General features: G+C 39.6%; 1 long non-coding RNA gene across 1 annotated transcript in view; it reads right to left on the bottom strand.

The window, feature by feature from the left end:
* Nucleotides 1-11,940: 11,940 nt before the first annotated feature.
* LINC02284 (long intergenic non-protein coding RNA 2284) overlaps nt 11,941-17,942 on the bottom strand; it is a 116,044-nt gene continuing 110,042 nt past the window's right edge. The window contains exon 7 of the long non-coding RNA NR_187174.1: nt 11,941-12,785. This is a non-coding gene — a long non-coding RNA (long intergenic non-protein coding RNA 2284). The remainder of the gene's footprint in view (nt 12,786-17,942) is intronic.

The following is a 17,942-nucleotide window of genomic DNA, read 5'->3' as shown; positions in this document are numbered from 1 at the left end:
CTAGAACTGATAAAAGAATTCAGCAAAGTTTCCGGATACAAGATTAATGTACACAAATCAGTAGCTCTTCTATATACCAACAGTGACCAGGTAGAGAATCAAATCAGGAACTCAGCCCCTTTTACAATAGCTGGAAAAAAAATAAAATAAAATACTTAGGAATATACCTAACAAAGGAGTTGAAAGACCTCTACAAAGACAACTACAAAACACTGCTGAAAGGAGTCATAGATGACACAAACAAATGGAAACACATCCCATACTCATGGATGGGTAGAATCAACATTGTGAAAAGGACCATACTGCCAAAGCAATCTACAAATTCCGTGCAATCCCCATCAAACTATCACCAACATTCTTCACAGAATTAGAAAAAACAATTCTAAAATTCATATGGAACCAAAAAAGAGCTCACATAGCCAAAGCAAGAGTATGCAAAAAGGACAAATCTGGAGGCATCACGCTACCTGATTTCAAACTATACTATAAGGCCATAGTCACCAAAACAGCATCGTATTAGTATAAAAATAGGCACGTAGACCAGTGGAACAGAATAGAGAACCCAGGAATAAACCCAAATACTTATAGCCCACTGATCTTCGACATGGCAAACAAAAACATAAAATGGGCGAAGGACACCCTTTTCAACAAATGGTGCTGTGATAATTGGCTAGCCACCTGTAGGAGAATTAAACTGGATCTGCATTTCTCACCTTATACAAAAATCAACTCAAGATGGATTAAGGACTTAAACCTAAGACCTGAAACTATAAAAATTCTAGAAGATAATATTGGAAAAAGCCTCCTAGACATTGGCTTAGGCAAGGATTTCATGACCAAGAACCCAAAAACAAATGCAATAAAAACAAAGATAAATAGCTGGGACCCAATTAAACTAAGGAGCTTTTGCACAATAAAAGGAACAGTCTGCAGAGTAAAAAGACAACCCACAGAGTGGGAGAAAATCTCCACAATCTATACATCTGACAAAGGACTAATATCCAGAATCTACAACAAACTCAAACAAATCAGTAACAAAAAAACAAATTATCCCACCAAAAAGTGGGCTAAGGACATGAATAGACAATTCTCAAAAGAAGATACACAAATGGCCAACAATCATATAAAAAAATGCTCAACATCGCTAATGATCAGGGAAATGCACCTCAAAACCACAATGCGATACTACCTTACTCCTGCAAGAATGGCCATAATCAAAAAACAGTAGATGTTGGCATGGATGCAGTGAACAAGGAACACTTCTACACTGCTGGTGGAAATGTAAACTACTACAACCATTATGGAAAACAGTGTGGAGATTCCTTAAAGAACTAAAAGTAGAACTACCATTTGATCCAGCAATCCCACTATTGGGTATCTACGCAGAGGAAAATAAGTCATTATTCAAAAAAGATACTTGCACACACATGTTTATAGCAGCACAATTCACAATTGCAAAATCGTGGAACTAACACAAATGCCCATTAACCAACAAGTAGATAAAGAAACTGTGGTGTGTGTGTATATATATATGATATATGATGGAATACTACACAGCCATAAAAGGAATGAATTAACCATGTTTGCAGTGACTTGGTTGAGATTGGAGATTATTATTCTAAGTGATGTAACTCAGGAATGGAAAACCAAACATTGTATGTTCTCACTGATATGTGGGAGCTAAGCTATGAGGACACAAAGGTATAAGAACGATACAATGGAATCTGGGGACTTGGGGGGAAGAGTTGGGGGGTGGTGAGAGATAAAAGACTACAAATATGGTGCAGTGTATACTGCTAGGGTGAGAGGTGCACCAAAATCTCACAAATCACTACTAAAGAACTACACATGTAACCAAATACCACCTATACCCCAATACCCCAATAACTTATGGAAAAATAAAAATAATAAAAAACAATACACGATTAACAAGGAAATTTGGTTACTTCTGTGGCATAAAACAATTTACATAACAATCATAATTACTACTGATAAGATATACTAAGACATATTAGAATCACAAGATCTCATAAAATTTTGGAACACTTACTAATAATACAGTTATATAAACCTAATCTAAAGAAGGTTAACACCATTTCATACTTGACAATTCTTCCTGTATGATTTTAGTATACCAAATGAGCCAAATACGTCCCTTTTGGACTTCAGGGACCGTATATCAAAAAATTAATGAGGTCAAAAAGGCAAAATTTAGAATTTGATTTTGGAAAGTTTATCAAATATCAAAAGTTTAAAACACCTAATTATCACAAAATAGGGTCACAGGTCATTGTGAAATAAGTCATTCATTTAACCAAAGTGACAACTCAAAGATTTCAAAAAAGGCAAAAGTCTTTATTCTTTGAAAGAGACTTACTTTCCAAACAGTAAGCCCTAATAAAGATAGAATGAGGCTAATTAAATCTGTCTCTCAAATCTTATAAATAAATCTATTAAATTTTAATCATCTTGACCACAAGATGCAATTTCTATAAACCTTTTTATAACCTTTTGTAATTGCTTTTATTAAAGAGTAAGTTAATGCTCCAAGAAAACATTGTTAATCTGACATAGGGGCCCAGATGCTGGTCTTGCATCACTGTGCCTTTGATATTAATGTTTAATTTATACAGAAATTCTGAACTAATTTTATTTCTCAAAATCGACCCTTACAATCTCATGCTCCCACCTCTTCTGCAATAGTCCTCGGGTCTACAGGGGTTAGTTTTAATTTCTGACCCTGTGTCTCATGAATTTGGCTTATTTTGATTGTCATCTTCTCTTGGATCTGAGGATGAGACCTTAACTGCTGTCAGTGTTTAAGATTTAGCAGGACTTGGTGTCCCTTTTAGACTGAGGAGTCAAAGCTCTATAACTTAACACAAATACTTTAAAAGCAATACAGAAAATTACATGGATGTAATAAACTCAACTTTTTAATTTCAGCTTTTCTAGGCAAATAAAAAAACTTAATAACAATGATGTAGAAATTATTTCAATAAAATATAAAATCTATTTGTTAAGCCAGTTACCACAAGGCAAACAAACAAACAAAAGACCTTCTGAAATGTGATTGCTTTTCCCTACGGGGAGTCCATTTAGATAGGCTGCAAGTTAAAATTTATGAAAATGGCTTGACTTACTTAGACGTAGGAAGAGTGTGTCCCGTGTCCTAAGTGACAGTTTTCTATTTTATATAAGAATTTAAAGCCACGTGCACAGGACGTTACATTGGAAAAAGACATTTCCTTTAGACCTTTAAAATAAAACATTTTTAGCATCAGTCCACAACATCAGTTAGAATCTGAAGGAAAAAAGTTACAGGAGCTGACAAAAATGTTGAAGAAGAGAGTTATTATATCAGGCCTTCTTGATGGGGGGAGAAAGCTGAAAACAGTGAGACACAATAAAAATTAAACTTTTGGGTTAAAAATTAAAATCTCTTGTCATTTTATGAAGAGTAAATCAATACCTTAAGAAAATTTTGTTGTTCTAACCCATTCTTCAGTGTATTTTTAATATAAAAGCCCAATCTCTAGAAAGACTATTGTAAGTAATTTAATTATAACCAGCTTGATTACATAAAGTGTTTTTTCCATAAATTGTCTTTTTACAAACCTTATTATGACTTATACAAACCATTTATGACACCCTTGGACTTCCTGTTTTATCCTAAACATCCCTCTTTCTTAAATAACCAATTATTTTGTTTTAAGACAAAAATTTTACCACACGATTCCTTCTCATGTAAAATTATTTTCCTTTTAACCTTTCTTACCAAAAGTATTACTTTGTACTTATCTTTCTTTACATCTTTCTTATTTACTGGTTCATTTTACCTTGTTTTATAAATAACCTTTAAATAACCTTTGAATTAGACAAACTATTCCCTTTTAATAAGAACATATTGTTTTTTAGAAAAATATTTTCCTGTAATTGTTTTAAAAAGCTAGGTGACCCTAACATTTAATGAATATCTATGATTTAATTTAACTGTAGATTCTAAATTATTATATATACATTTGTTTTACAACCACTTATTGTTATATTAACCTAATTACGTTTTGTAAAAATTAATTTACCTAGATTACTTATGAAAACTGTGATTGTCATCATTTAAAGTTATTTTCTTGTTAACCATTTTTTATAGTCTGTGAATTTCAGTTGCTAACCTAAGTAAGAAATTTAAGGTTAAGTAAATGTGGCTTTTTTTTTAGTAAGACAGGATTTAGCTATTTTTTATTAAATTGATAATATTACATACCTATTTATCAAAAAATTACATGATAATCTTCTTTTGGGCTTCATTTAGAGCTTTATAACCCTCATGTCAAATCTTGACATCTGATAATATTTAGCACAGATAAATATAAAACTGCTTGGCCAATAAATCAAAAAAATAATATATGTTGACAATTCTGAATCCATTCTCATTTCATTTTACCAATTATTTAAGAGCCAGCTTATTGATTAAAAATTTACTTAAGTAGCTTGAACTTGAAAAGTATTTGGGCTTATTTACTTAATTTATGAATATTCCTTTATTTTTAAGCCAATTTGGTACCTTATGGCCATAACACGTAACAAAACACATATACGTACATTTAAATACACCTAAGCACACATGCACACTTACTCATACAAATAAAGATTCTATAGCTTTTACTTTGGAACTGTAGCCATGAGATATCAATACAAATTTACAAGTTTACAAAAAAAAAAATGCTTGGATGCAAACAGTGGTTTTTATCTCAACACCAGTAGAAAGGCCTTCTAAACTAGAAAAGTTACATTTTCTTAAACAAAAACCACATTCTCTGTTTTTTTTTCACAAAGTTTACCAAAACACATCTTACCCTCCCACTATTCTAACTCTTAGTAACCTTAATTCCTAGTGAAAAAGGTAGGATCACTTAATTGATCACAACATGAGGGGGTGTAGCAGAGGTGGGGATGGTTAATGGGTACAAAAAAATAGAAAGAATGAATAAGACCTAGTATTTGATAGCACAACAGGGTGACTATAGTCAAAATAAATTAACTGTTCATTTAAAAATAACTAAAAGAGTATAATTGGTTTATAACACAAAGAATAAATGCTTGAGGAATGGATACCCCATTTTCCATGATATGATTATTACACAATGCATGCCTATACCAAAATATCACATGAATATATGTGTATACCTACCATGTACCCAAAAAAATTAAAATAAAAAAGTAACATGACTTTAAGATTTTAAATTACTGGGGAGAATTTTGAAACTAAATATACCAAATTAATCTTACCAAAAAATACTGAAGTCATGTGAACTGAAAAGCCTCTGAGTTAGCTTCTATTGGTCTGATAAATGCTTATTTTTTAAAAGTCAATTAATGAGAGCTCTTTCTTCTAATTGGTAGTGAAATATTATTTCTACCTGACTTTATAAACATACAGACATAGCAAGCTCAGACAGAGGTGAATTTTACAGATTTAAAATTTTTCATTTACCTGTTTTCAAAAAATTTCTCTTCCCTACTTTAGACTATTAATCTCTTGATTATCTGTTCCATGTCCTAAACAATAGTTAATTAGGCAACTCTAAATTTTCATCTCCAAAGACATGACTTAAGTGAAGCAAGGTAGAAAATTCAAAGTCGCAGACGTAAGTCTAAACAAATGCAAGGTCTGTTATGTAAACTTCAAGCTACTGTCTTTCCCCCTAAATTTCCTAGTGGTTTAGGTGCAGAGACAGAGATGCCCTTACAAAATGGAGATTTCCTTTAAAGACATGTATTTCCCTTACAAAGAGTTTTATTAAAGTGACTTAGTTTGATAGGTTGTGGTTTCAATTTAGCTTGATTAGATTACTGGCTTTAGGGTGGAGACCTTTAGGAAACAGGATCAAGAAAGCATGTACAATTTTCTAATCTAAGCATGCAAAAAACTAGTAGCCTCCTGTAGTAATGACCATTTTCTGTAAACTGTCCTCAACTTCCCCTAACATTGTAGCTCTTATCTATTACACATGCCAAGGTCAAATCCCCTCACAGTACTAGGTAATCTCAGGTGCCCCCAAAAGCCAAAGAGGTCAGGTAACACCATGCAAAAAAGCAGAGCTTTAGATCTGAGAAGAATATGTCCATGACTCTAGAAACTCCCCAAAGAAAGCAGAACATCCAAAACAGAGATGAATGGTGCCTTTATTCTCAATTCTTTAAGGGGCTTGAGTCTTTAGAAGCCCTCTCTAGATTTTTTTCACTTGGTACTGAAGATGGCAAAAGGGAAGGAAGAATAGGGTGGGAAAAAATAATGAAAAAATTAAAAATAATAATGAAAAAAAGAACAATTTTTTTTTAAGAAAGGAAAGCCAGGCACGGTGGCTCCTGTCTGTCATCCCAGCACTTTGGGAGGCCGAGGTGGGTGGATCACTTGAGGTCAGGAGATTGAGACCAGCCTGACCAACATGGTGAAACCCCATCTCTACTAAAAATACAAAATTAGCTGGGTGTGGTGGCGTTCACCTGCAGTCCAAGCTACTTGGGTGGCTGAGGCAGGAGAATTGTTTGAACACAGGAAGCAGAGGCTGTAGTTATCCAAGATCGTACCACCGCACTCCAGCCTGGGTGATATAGCAAGATTCCATCCAAAAAAAAAGAGAGAAAGAAAAGAAAAGTAGAAAGAAAAGTAAGAAAGAAAGGAAAGGAAAAAAAGGAAAGAAAGAAAAAGAAAGAAAGAAAGGGAGAAGGGAGGGAGGAAAGGGAAAGGAAAGGAAGGAAGGAAGGAAGGAAGGAAGGAAGGAAAGGAAGGAAGAAAGAGAACAGAGAAACCAACTGTATGGGTTCATTTTTTGTTGTTGTTGTTTTGTTTGTTTTTTTGTTTTTGCAGCTGCAAGGAATTTTACCCAGAGGCCTTGCTCCCCATAATTTGGAATTCTCCTTAAGATTTGACCAAGTCAGGTAGAGTTGATCAAATCTGATGGGAGAAAGATGGAACAACCTACCAAAAAAAAAATTATTGAGTGATTTAATGGTAAGGAGAAATGAAGATCAGCTGGTGGTCAACCTTAACTTTTAGTCATTGTGGAGAATTTTCAAGACAAAACCCCAGTTCGGCTACTTACCTAAGATTGTTGCCCAGGCTCAAGACTGCTCTCTACCATCTTAGAAACAGGAAAAAACTCAAACTCGCTTTCCCTATTGGAAGTGAGCTGAAACACCGGAAAGGAATTGCCTGCCCTTTATCATCACAGAAGCAGGAAAACTCACCTTCCTTGTTGGAAGTGAGTAAACCTCCAGAAAAGGAGTTGAAGAGCAAACCCAACTTTGGAGATCTCAACCAAACTTTGGAGGATCAGGGATTCTCTGGAGGGGGCACCTCCCAGACATCAGCAAATTGTCCTGTTGGTTTGAGCAATAAAGATACCCCAAGCTGGTATCAAACACCACTGGGAGATTTGTCAAAGGTCAGGACCACCTCCACTCAAAGTCCCTTCATGCTTGACAATTTGTAAACCAAAAAGTATATGAGACAGGTCTCAATCAATTTAGAAGTTTATTTTGCCAAGGTTAAGGACATGGCCAGGAGAAAGAAAACAACACAGAATCACAGAGACAGTCTGTCGTCTGTGCCTTTCTCCAAAAGTGAATTTGAGGGTTTCAATATTTAAAGGGGAAAAGTGGGGTGGAGGAGTAAGAGAGAGGGTATGGGCATCCACACATTGCAAGGGAAAAGGAGCAGGTAGGGGAATAATCAATTACGCATTTGTCTCATGCTCAGTAAGTCGGCAATTTATTATCAGATAAGGTGAACATACCTGTGGAGATAGTTAACCTTTTATCTGCTTAGGAACAAAAGGAAGGGCAGCTTCTTGTATGACTCAGCTTTCATCTTAATTTTTTCCTTTTGGCATAGTGAATCGGGGTCCTGAGTTTTTATTTGTCTTTCACACTGTGTTATAGGAGTTTTGCATTTTACATTTGGCCAGATATTGCAAAATCATTTTTGAAAGAAGTTGTACCAATTCACACTCTCCCTGGTGTATACAGGGCTTTTCCTCACTCTATCAAAGGAAGCTCTTTAAAAATTAGCAATCCTACAATTACCATGCATGATACAACTGTACTGAGGAAATGGATTTTAAATAAAAGACGTAAATTACATAAATTAGAAGCTGTTTGGACCCCTCAAAAGGGAGTCAAGTCAGGCCCATTGATATGAGTTTCCCTTTACGGTGATACACCATTTGTCTGCATTTACACAAAGACCTTTGTGAACCACCTCAACTTTGGCAATTTTACCCAAAATCACCATCTCTGATGGAGGTGATGGTCCCAACAACACTTATGTGCCCATACCAAAACTGCTTTGTAGCACATTTCCATTCTAAAGCTTGAGCTTAACCCCAAGTTATTAACAGAACCATCTTGTGTTGCCCATGAATTATCCACTGTTCTAACTAAGCCACTGATTGCCCAAAGAGAAAATATCATATTCACTGCCACTAATCATAATGCTATCTTTGGATTACAGAACTTTTCCAGCAAAGCGCTCACAACACTTTAATATATCTCGTTTAATTGCACAGCAGCTTGCTGAGGTGAGAAAGGCATTGTTGAGACTCTGTAGAGATATAAGGAGAGGTCTTGATATCCTCTATAGCAGCTATCAAAGCAAGGTCCTGTGGCAATGTCCCAGAATAAATCAAGATGGAGCCAAAGAAACTAAGTGATGAAACTCTTAAAAAAATCTATTAAATTATATATATTTTTTAGTCTCTTTTGGATTTCCTCAGAATCTGTAGGTGACCTTTAAAAATGCAGCATCAGGGCAAAAGTGGGCTACTAAGTTGCTAGACCTCCTTCCAGTGGGTGTTAGTGAGGCTGGCAGGTGGTTCCAGCCTCCCGTTTGGCTCATCATAAATCTAGACAGAGCTGAGGGCACAGGTGCCCACAGTCTTTTAACCTATAAATAAAGGAATCACAAAGTTTGGTGTGGATGGTTAGGAAGGGAGCGCAGGTAGCAGTGGGAAAGACAAATTTGGCAGTTTTAACCCTGTCACCAGCTGGGCAGGTACATGATTCCAGTGTGTTAAAGCAGGCTCTTTGGAGCATTTGTGGTGGTATATTTTCATTAGGATTCTTTAGAGTTCACAGGCTCAATTCAGGTAGTGCAGTGGTTGTTTGGGTGAGAAACCCCACAGGTCTGACAGGGACTGTCTACTGTTTACAGGACAGTAATACACGCAGTGAGAGGCTTGGTTTTAATTCCAGAGTATAACAGAAAGTTTCCTGTTGGCTATTCTGAGCTCTCCTGTCAGAAAACTGCCTTTGAAAGGACTCTGTCAACCCACTTGGATGTCCCAGAGCTGCGCCAGCCAGGGAATCCTCAGAGCCCCACTCTGCCCTGAGGCAACCTTTCCCTAGTGGAACCAACCCCTGACATAAAAGCCCCACTGAGTGGGTTCTGAAGTTTTTGCACCATCCAAGGCCTGTCCAGCCTGAAACAGCATGACACTTTCAATACAATCCAAACTCCTTAAGCTTCCCCAGGTCTCCAGGAGAGGGGCAGGTAAAAGGAAGAGGGAGAGAGTCCTTTCTGTGTCTTGAGCTATGCTAGGAGTACATATAATATTCATAACTTTAAACATGGTAGACACTGGTTTAGCCATTTTGCAAAGGGGGAACTTGAGGATCAGAGAGGTTAAATAACTTGCTCAGAGTCACAGAGCTCCACAGTGTCTATACAGACATGTGTTATTTTTTTCCTGCCCAGCATCCCTTTATCCTTAAGTAACAGCACCACCTTTCCTGAAGTTGAATGAGATCGATTACTTCCCTCTCCCACCCCAACCTCCCTGCAAGAGTGTACATGTGACTTAGGATTCACCAATCAGCAGCCTCACCAAGACCTGTGTTATAAATCTTGGCAGAGACCTTCTTCCTCCATTCATCATGTGAGTCTGGAGCTGCTGAGGAAGCACTGTCCTCAGAATGAGGCCAATAGAGAAATCACTGGAGCAGAAAGAGAGAAGGAAATAGATTTCCAATGATGTCTTTTGAGTGCCTGGATGTAGCTGTTCCTGAAGGCAAAACACATGCCTGGATTTGTCAGCTCTATTAGTTTAGACAATGAGTCCTTACTTTTACTATTTTGGTCAATGCACTAAAAAGCTGGAATTTGAACCTAGCTTTGTCTGACTCCAAAGCCGGTGTTCTTTTGACTCTACAAAACAGCTTCCCCACAAACTTAGCATTCACTGAGCCTGTATTTTCCTAAGGCCAGGTCTCACAAGTCCAAGTTGCAGGCTTCAGGGTGGAGAACAAATCACAACGCACCCATGAAGTTGAGGACACTTGGAGGATTGGTCCATTGCAAAAGTCTCCCCTCCCCAACAGACACACACTCTCACATACACATTTTGCTCTGAGGTTGGTGGGAAAGAAGCTTGCTTTGCTATCTGGGCCCATTCATACTCTGGAGTCTTGGACTGTGTTATAATATAGCGAAGCTGTGGTGGGTGATGAGGTCCCTTGGCTGAGATCCGTCCAGTTGTACATGTATGCTGGGGTACTAAGCACTCCCAGGCGGATGGCAGGGCACCAGCAGTTTTCACAGTGTTCCTGGGAAAACATTGCTGGGTAACTGTTTAGTCAGCTTGGGCTGTCGTAACAAAATAGTAGAAATTGCATGGCTTGAAGAACAAAAGTTTATTTTCTCACAGTTCTGGAGATTGGAAATCCAAGATCAAGGTGCCAGAAGGGTGGGTTTCATTCTGAGGCCTCTTCTCTTCGCAGGTGGCCACCATCTCATTGTGTGCCCATACGACCTCTTCTTGTACACTCAGAGAGTAAACAAGCTCTCTGGTGTCTCTTAAGGACACCAATCCTATTAGATCAGAGCCCCATCCTATAGCCTCATTTAACCTTAATTACTTCTGTAAAGGCCCTGTCTCCAAATACAGTCACATCAGGGGTCAGGGCTTCAACATATGAGTTTTGGGGAAGTAGGAGGGATATAAACATTCAGTCTACAACAGAGATGCTCTGGAAACTTTTAGTCACAGTGAATGTGGAGAAAATTCAGAAAGAGTATTCAGGGGAGTCTACAGGCAGTTGAGGCTGCTTCACAGAGCTTAGGCTTAGGTAGTTTGCAGCAACAAAGATAGATATTTTCTGGACCCGTGCTTCTTTGCTGTCTCATGACAGGACAAATGTTGGGTTTTCCTCTTTTGTTTTGCTGGCAATGTATGTTGGGGCCTCCTGGTTTCAAGATAAATTCATGTGTTAAGGTTTGTGGTATCCCAACTGGGAAAGCTAAATTAGTTAATTGAAAAATGAAAAAGAGGAAAATTAAACCAGCAATTTCTCCAAACATATTGGGCCAATTTAAAACCCAGGTTAACATTGATTTATTGCTTTAATAAGATTCCTGTATAAGGAAAAATGACTGGTCTGCAACATAAATAAATTTGGGAATGTGTTTATTTGGCTGCAATATCCAGGAGCAACAGGGCAAATGACTCCTTAAGTTTTTGCATTTTTTTCTTATCTTTAAGACCCCTGGGCCTTCAATTCTTAGTTATTCTTAGTCAAGACCAATGTCCACAAAATAATGCAAATATTCTGAGCTCCCCCTTCACCAAAAATGACCCACGAAGCCATCTCAGAGCCCAGATGAGGGTATGGGGCAGACACTGCCCTGAAGCTCTCCAGCCAGGACAGTGCCACGGCTGGAAGAGAAACCCTGCTCAGAAGAGGCCAAGTGAGAGGACAGCTGGACCTGCCCTCAAACCCAGCCTCAGCCCGGCTCACCCTGTCAGTACAAGGTGTCCCCATAGGGGGCTGAGGCTCCAGGAAACAGTGGCACTGCTTCCTCCTTTATGAGTCTAGTCCATTTCAAGTTCAGAGAGCTTGGTCAGCTTCCCTTGGCCTCTCAGGCTGATCCTCATGCGGGGCTTTGGGACTTCTCATTGAACATCCTGGAAGAGGTGGCCATGGGAAGCTATGTGCGCTTCCATCTGACGACAAGGCCCAAGGAAAAGCATTCAAAACCCATAGCCAAGTTCCAGACATTGCAAGGCTAACCCACAGCCTCAAAAATCACGAGGTCAACCTAGACTTCGACAACATAGAAGCCAGAGACATAAAGGGAATCTCCAGGGCCTCACAAAGATGGCAAAGACAATGCCCAGGTCCCTAGGCTCTCAGGAATTGACCTCTGGGAAGTAACAGACTCTATCTAGAAGGCAGTGAGCATAAATAGTGGATTTAACTGCTCCTAATGTTGTATTTCTTGAGCTGCTTGATAGATACGTAGGTATTGGTTTGGTTTTCCTTATCCCTTTTTGAAAGTCTTAAAAACTGCATAATACATTTAAAAAATAAAGTAACGTTTAAAAAGAGAAGATATTGAAGAAGGAGAGTAGGAATGTCTTTTGAAACTCAATATGCTTAATAAAGTTGAGGGAGAACTGAAGAGTTACATGTTCATAAGTTCGGAGAAGAGACTTCCCATTCTGGGGCTACAATGTTTCAAGTCTTTGCCGAGTGTGAAAGAAATCAAATTTATCAGCTATTGAGTTGAATCCTAAAATAATAGCAACAGACCGTTCTTCTTGTTTGGACCCAATGGAATAGAAAATCCACAAGTTTTGTCTTTCTGCATGAAGAGTGCACTTAACCCTTTCAATGCTCATTTTCATGTAGCTTTCATACACAGACCAGAGAAGAGATAAACAGCCTTTTGCCTTTCACCATGGAGGATGAAATCCAGATACATCACAGGAGGAGGCTGAGCACACCTTGGGAAGGAACAGGAGGGCTAAGGTTAGAAACGAAGGCATTTTACTCCACAAACCCTCACTCCCCGCAAAGAAAGGCTTTACTCATTGCCCTGCCAGCATGTATCAAATGTTAGATAAAATTAATTGGGAATGGACATTGTTATTGATTTGTATTTGTTGGTTTTTATAACCTTACATTATCAACAAATGGTAGAGGTAAAAAGGCTGAGGTGTAATGAGGGTTGGAAATGTTTAATGGAAAGACATCACCTCTATCGTGAGGCATTGCTCACATGAACAAGCCCATGGAATTGATTTCCATGGAAAATGCTTTCGATGAAAATCCAAGGAAAACTTTGACAATTACCACAACTGTTATCTTTTGGGGAATGTTTATGCATATGTACATATGTTTATGTTTTTAATTGAACTATAGCTTATATTTGATAATAAGGAGGTGTATTAGCTTGTTTTCATGCTGCTGATAAAGACATACCCTAGACTGGGTAATTTATACAGTAAAAAGGGCTTATTGGACTTGCAGTTCCACGTGGCTGGGGAAGCCTCACAATCATAGCAGAAGGCAAGGAGGAGCAAGTCATGTCTTACATGGATGGGAGCAGGCAAAGAGAGAGCTTGTGCGGGAAAACTCCCCCTAATCATGACCATCAGATCTCGTGAGACTCACTATCACGAGAACAGCACAGGAAAGGCCTGCCCCCATGATTCAATTACCTCCCACCAAGTCCCTCCCACAACACATGGGAATACAAGATGAGATTTGGGTGGGGACACAGCCAAACCATATCAGGAGGCCTATGTGAAACAGGTAAAGCTGAAAGGCCTTGTTACGTATGGTAAGCATGTACTTCAAATAATAAGTTACATGTGGCTTCATTCATTGCTCCACTGTAAGTGATAAATTCAATGTGATTAGATTGATTAAAGAGTTACTAGTTGGCAGGGCGCGGTGGCTCACACCTATAATCCCAGCCTTTTGGGAGGCTGCGGTGGGCAGATCACAAGGTCAGGAGATCGAGACGATCCTGGCTAACACGGTGAAACCCTGTCTCTACTAAAAATACAAAAAAAATTAGCTGGGCATGGTGGTGGGCCCCTGTAGTCCCAGCTACCTGGGAGGCTGAGGCAGGAGAATGGCGTGAACCCGGGAGTCAGAGCTTGCAGTGAGCCGAGATAGCACCACTGCACTCCAGCCTGGGTGACAGAGCAAGACTCCTTCTCAAAAAGAGTTACTAGTTGAATTAATAAATGGAAACAAAATGAAAATATTGTTATATAAGAAGACTCATTTGAAGGGTTAGAAAGAATACAGTGGACCTGTTTGATAAAATGCACAGCACTAATGCCCACCTGGAGAATTGTATCACTGACATGTTAACAAGAAAACCTTCAAAACTGTAGTGTGATGAGGTGGGAAAGAAGGTTCCAGCTCAGGAGTCAGGGAGATTTGGGTGGAGCTTGGATCCACCTTTTACCAGACGTGTGACCCTGGGCACCAGGCTGCTCGTCTGTATGATGGGAGTAATAAATACCCACCCAGGTGGTGCTCGCAGGGGAAAATGAAGACATGTTTATAAAACTCCAAGCTCGGGGTAGGCACACGGTAGGCACTCAGTCATAGCAGTCTCTTTTTCCACCTCGGGAAGAGATGCTTTTATCTAAAGGTGTCATTTTCTCAGGAGAAGGGAGCCTAGGTTTTAACCAGTTAGAGCAATAGTGAGAGAAACAAAGGAACTGGATTTTGTCAATATTTTCTCCCCATGGCTCCAAAACCCTCTATGAGACACATCGAGTTCTTGATTACAGATTTCAGCTGCCAATATGCAGGGGTGTAGCATATCCAGTTGTTAAATATTGAAATGCTTCCTTACTGGCTGCTAAGTTGCCTCTGCATCCACTCCCTGTACAACCACCCCAGCCACCTTGGAACCCCTCACCTTCCCTTGATCCAGCAACCAAAGGGTTAATACCTGCTCCTTAGGGTAGTGGGGAGAAGACTGTGCTTCAGGGCCTTTTTAGGAGCTCTGGCTCATGGATCATTCCAATGCACTGACACCCAGGCCCTACTGGTTTCTAAGTACTTGAATTATCACCTCTGTTTCTAGCCAGCTCTCTTCATTTACCTTTTCTTTAGCTACCATCTCGTTTGTGGGAGAGCAGCAAACTTGAAATCACGCTCCCCTTGGGAGGCCCCTGGACTAGAGCCGCCTGTCCTAGGAAGTGTCTTGTCTACTTAATTTCCCTCCTTTGCTCCAGCTGCCATGAGGCCACTTTTCCTTGTAAAGTTTGTAACATGAACCAAAAGGATACAACTGAAGTCCCAGCCTACAGGGTAGCTTTGTTTATTTTGAAGATTTCAGAACCACGAAAGAAGGGATTTTAACAGTGTGGTTTCCTGTGGGTGGGCCTGATCTAAACACTGATCTTTTCCCAAGGGCACAGACTTGGAAGGAGCTCACAGAGCTGCTCCTGGACCCGGCCCATGCACACACAAAACTGAGCAAGTTTGGCCCCTGTTTCTCTCCAGTGGTGCCCCAGCCTGTGAACCACTCCTTCTCTAGGGTGTTGAGTTATTGTAAAAAGGTCCATGAATCCATATGCACCCCAAGCACTTTCTTTATTCATCTCACTGGTATTTACAGGGTACTGCAGCGTCCCCGTCCTTGCTGATTTTCAAATGTAATTCAATACCGTGTGATTAAAATAAAACTTAATCCAAATCTTATTGAACTCAGGTGCTTTTTATCACATATTTTAAAAATCAACAGATACTAAAAGTACAACTACTATCATGTGGGAATGGTATAAAATTTGACATTAACAAGAGGTCCTCTCCTAGAAAAGTTGGACAGCGTTGTGGCTCATTATGGAGGTGAGAAGAAGGTACATAATTTAATGACTAGTATAAGGGTAAAGAGACATCAGAACATCAATCCACCACTCTTCTGCCTGGGAGGTCATTATTCCAGTCAGTGGGGTGTTCCTGGTTCTGCATAACTGCAAAGTAAAGAGGAATATTAGGGTAATTCTGGAATCTGAAACCTCAGGGAAGTGTGCTTACATCTAAATAGGACTTTTACAAGCAAGATCAGTCATGGCTGATGGTATGTCACCCCCTCTGGAAGCACAGAGATCTGAAGAGGGCTGGAGGCCAGTGCAATTAGATTTGCATCTTCTCTTGCCTCCCTCCTCAGCCCTCTGCCCTCCTGTTCTTCCTCCTCTGGCTGGTCTTCAGAAAAGTGTTGGCAGGTAGCTTCCAGCTGGGATAGCTGCCAGGTTTCTAGATGGAGGAGCTATGCTGCAGCTGTGTTGGCAGGGAAAGAAATGGAGGAGCCAGGGTAAATGAATTAAGTCCTGATTCTCCATGGTTAAGCTATAGGACATTTCTAACACAAGGGGGCAGCTGCTGGCTGCATCACATCAGCTGATAGAAGTATAGTGTTGCAAACAGAACGAAATATAACAGTGACCAAAATAAAGAGAATCACCATGCTACAGCAATGTAGGGAGGGGTAACCTCCTTTTAAACAAAACCCCAATGCAATTTTTTTTTTAATCCACTATTTTTTATTATTTGCTGAGGATGTTGTAATACACCTTCAATCAAGCTGCACTATTTTGAGTAGCCATCTTATAATCGTTCTCATCTAACCCCAAATTGGCAGTATTCTAGGGAGTAGCCAGTTTCTAAGGGCAATATGTCAGGTCTCTATAGAATGAAATAAATGGAGAATTGGCAAAGTGAAGGTGACAAGGGGAATGTAGTCATCTGTGTCTCAGATCCAAAACACATTACTCTTTCCTCAAGAAATGGGATAAGTCATGGCTAAGCAACATAGTGGTGGAGGCATGCAAGGGCCAGCTCTCCAACAGAGCCTCCTCCAAATGTTTAAGACTCCTCAAGAGTTCACTTCTGATTTATCGAACTGATGAAAATATTAAGAATCTTTAAAATTGCTTTTGCTTCAGTACCATTGCAGTAGGCAGAATAGTGCCCTCCTCCCCAAAACGTCTATGTCCTGCTCCCTGGCACTTGTGCACAGGTTACTGCACATGGCAAAAGACTTTGCAGATGTGATTTTTTTTTTTTTTTTTGAGACGGAGTCTCACTCTTGTCACCCAGGCTGCAGTGCAATGGCGTGATCTCAGCTCACGGTAACCACTGCCTCCCGGGTTCAAGCGATTCTCCTGCCTCAGCCTCCTGAGTAGCTGGGATTACAGGTGCCTGCCACCACACCTGGCTAACTTTTTGTATTTTTAGTAGAGACGGGGTTTCACCATGTTGGCCAGGCTCCAGGCTAGTCTCTAACTCCTGACCTCAGGTGATCCACCCGCCTCGGTCTCCCAAAGTGCTGGGATTATAGGTGTGAGCCACCATGCTCGGCTGTGATCTTGACATGGGGAGATTATCCTGGATTGTCTGGGGGTGGGCACGATGTAATCACAATGGTGTTTATAAGTGAAAGAGGATGACAGGTCAATCATTGTCAGTGATATGATATGAGAGAGACTCGACTGGCCATTGCTGGCTGGGAAGACAGAGGAAGGCGCCACAAGCCAAGGAATGCAGAAAGCTTCTAGAAGATGTAAAAGGCAAGAAAACAGGTTATCTCCTAGAGCCTCCAGAAGGAACACAGCCCTATTGATGCCTTGACAACAGCCCAGTGAGACCCATTTTGGGCTTTTGACCACTGGAACTGTAAGATAATACATGTGTGTGGTCTTAGGCCATGAAACTGGTGGTAATGTTACAGCAGCAATAGGAAACTAATCCAATCACAATCACATCATGTCAGATTTGTAGCTGAAAAGTACTGAATTCCAGTTAGGATTAAAAACCGTCTATTCCATTTAGAAAAATTTCTCTAACAATATTTATTAAACAAATATCTACAAAATATTTCAACTTTCATAGAACTGAATTTTCTCAGTTCCTTTTCTCAAAGGGGAGGTGAGTGTCAAACTCTAATTATATTCTATAGTTGGGTAAATATGGAGCAAGGGATTTTTGTAAAACCTAAGGCACATAAAAATATGTAACAGACAGAAATGGATATTTAGGTCTCGCATGGGTCACTCCAGTGAGAACTCAACTGCTGTGCCTCACCAGTTTTGGAAATAAATGCACGTCTAGATAAAACTCTATTTTTCCCA

The sequence above is a fragment of the Homo sapiens genome, chromosome 14, assembly GCF_000001405.40.
Source record: "Homo sapiens chromosome 14, GRCh38.p14 Primary Assembly".
NCBI lineage: Eukaryota > Metazoa > Chordata > Mammalia > Primates > Hominidae > Homo > Homo sapiens.
The sequence above is the reverse complement of the archived record's forward strand: the minus strand, read 5'-3'. Positions and strand labels throughout refer to the sequence as shown.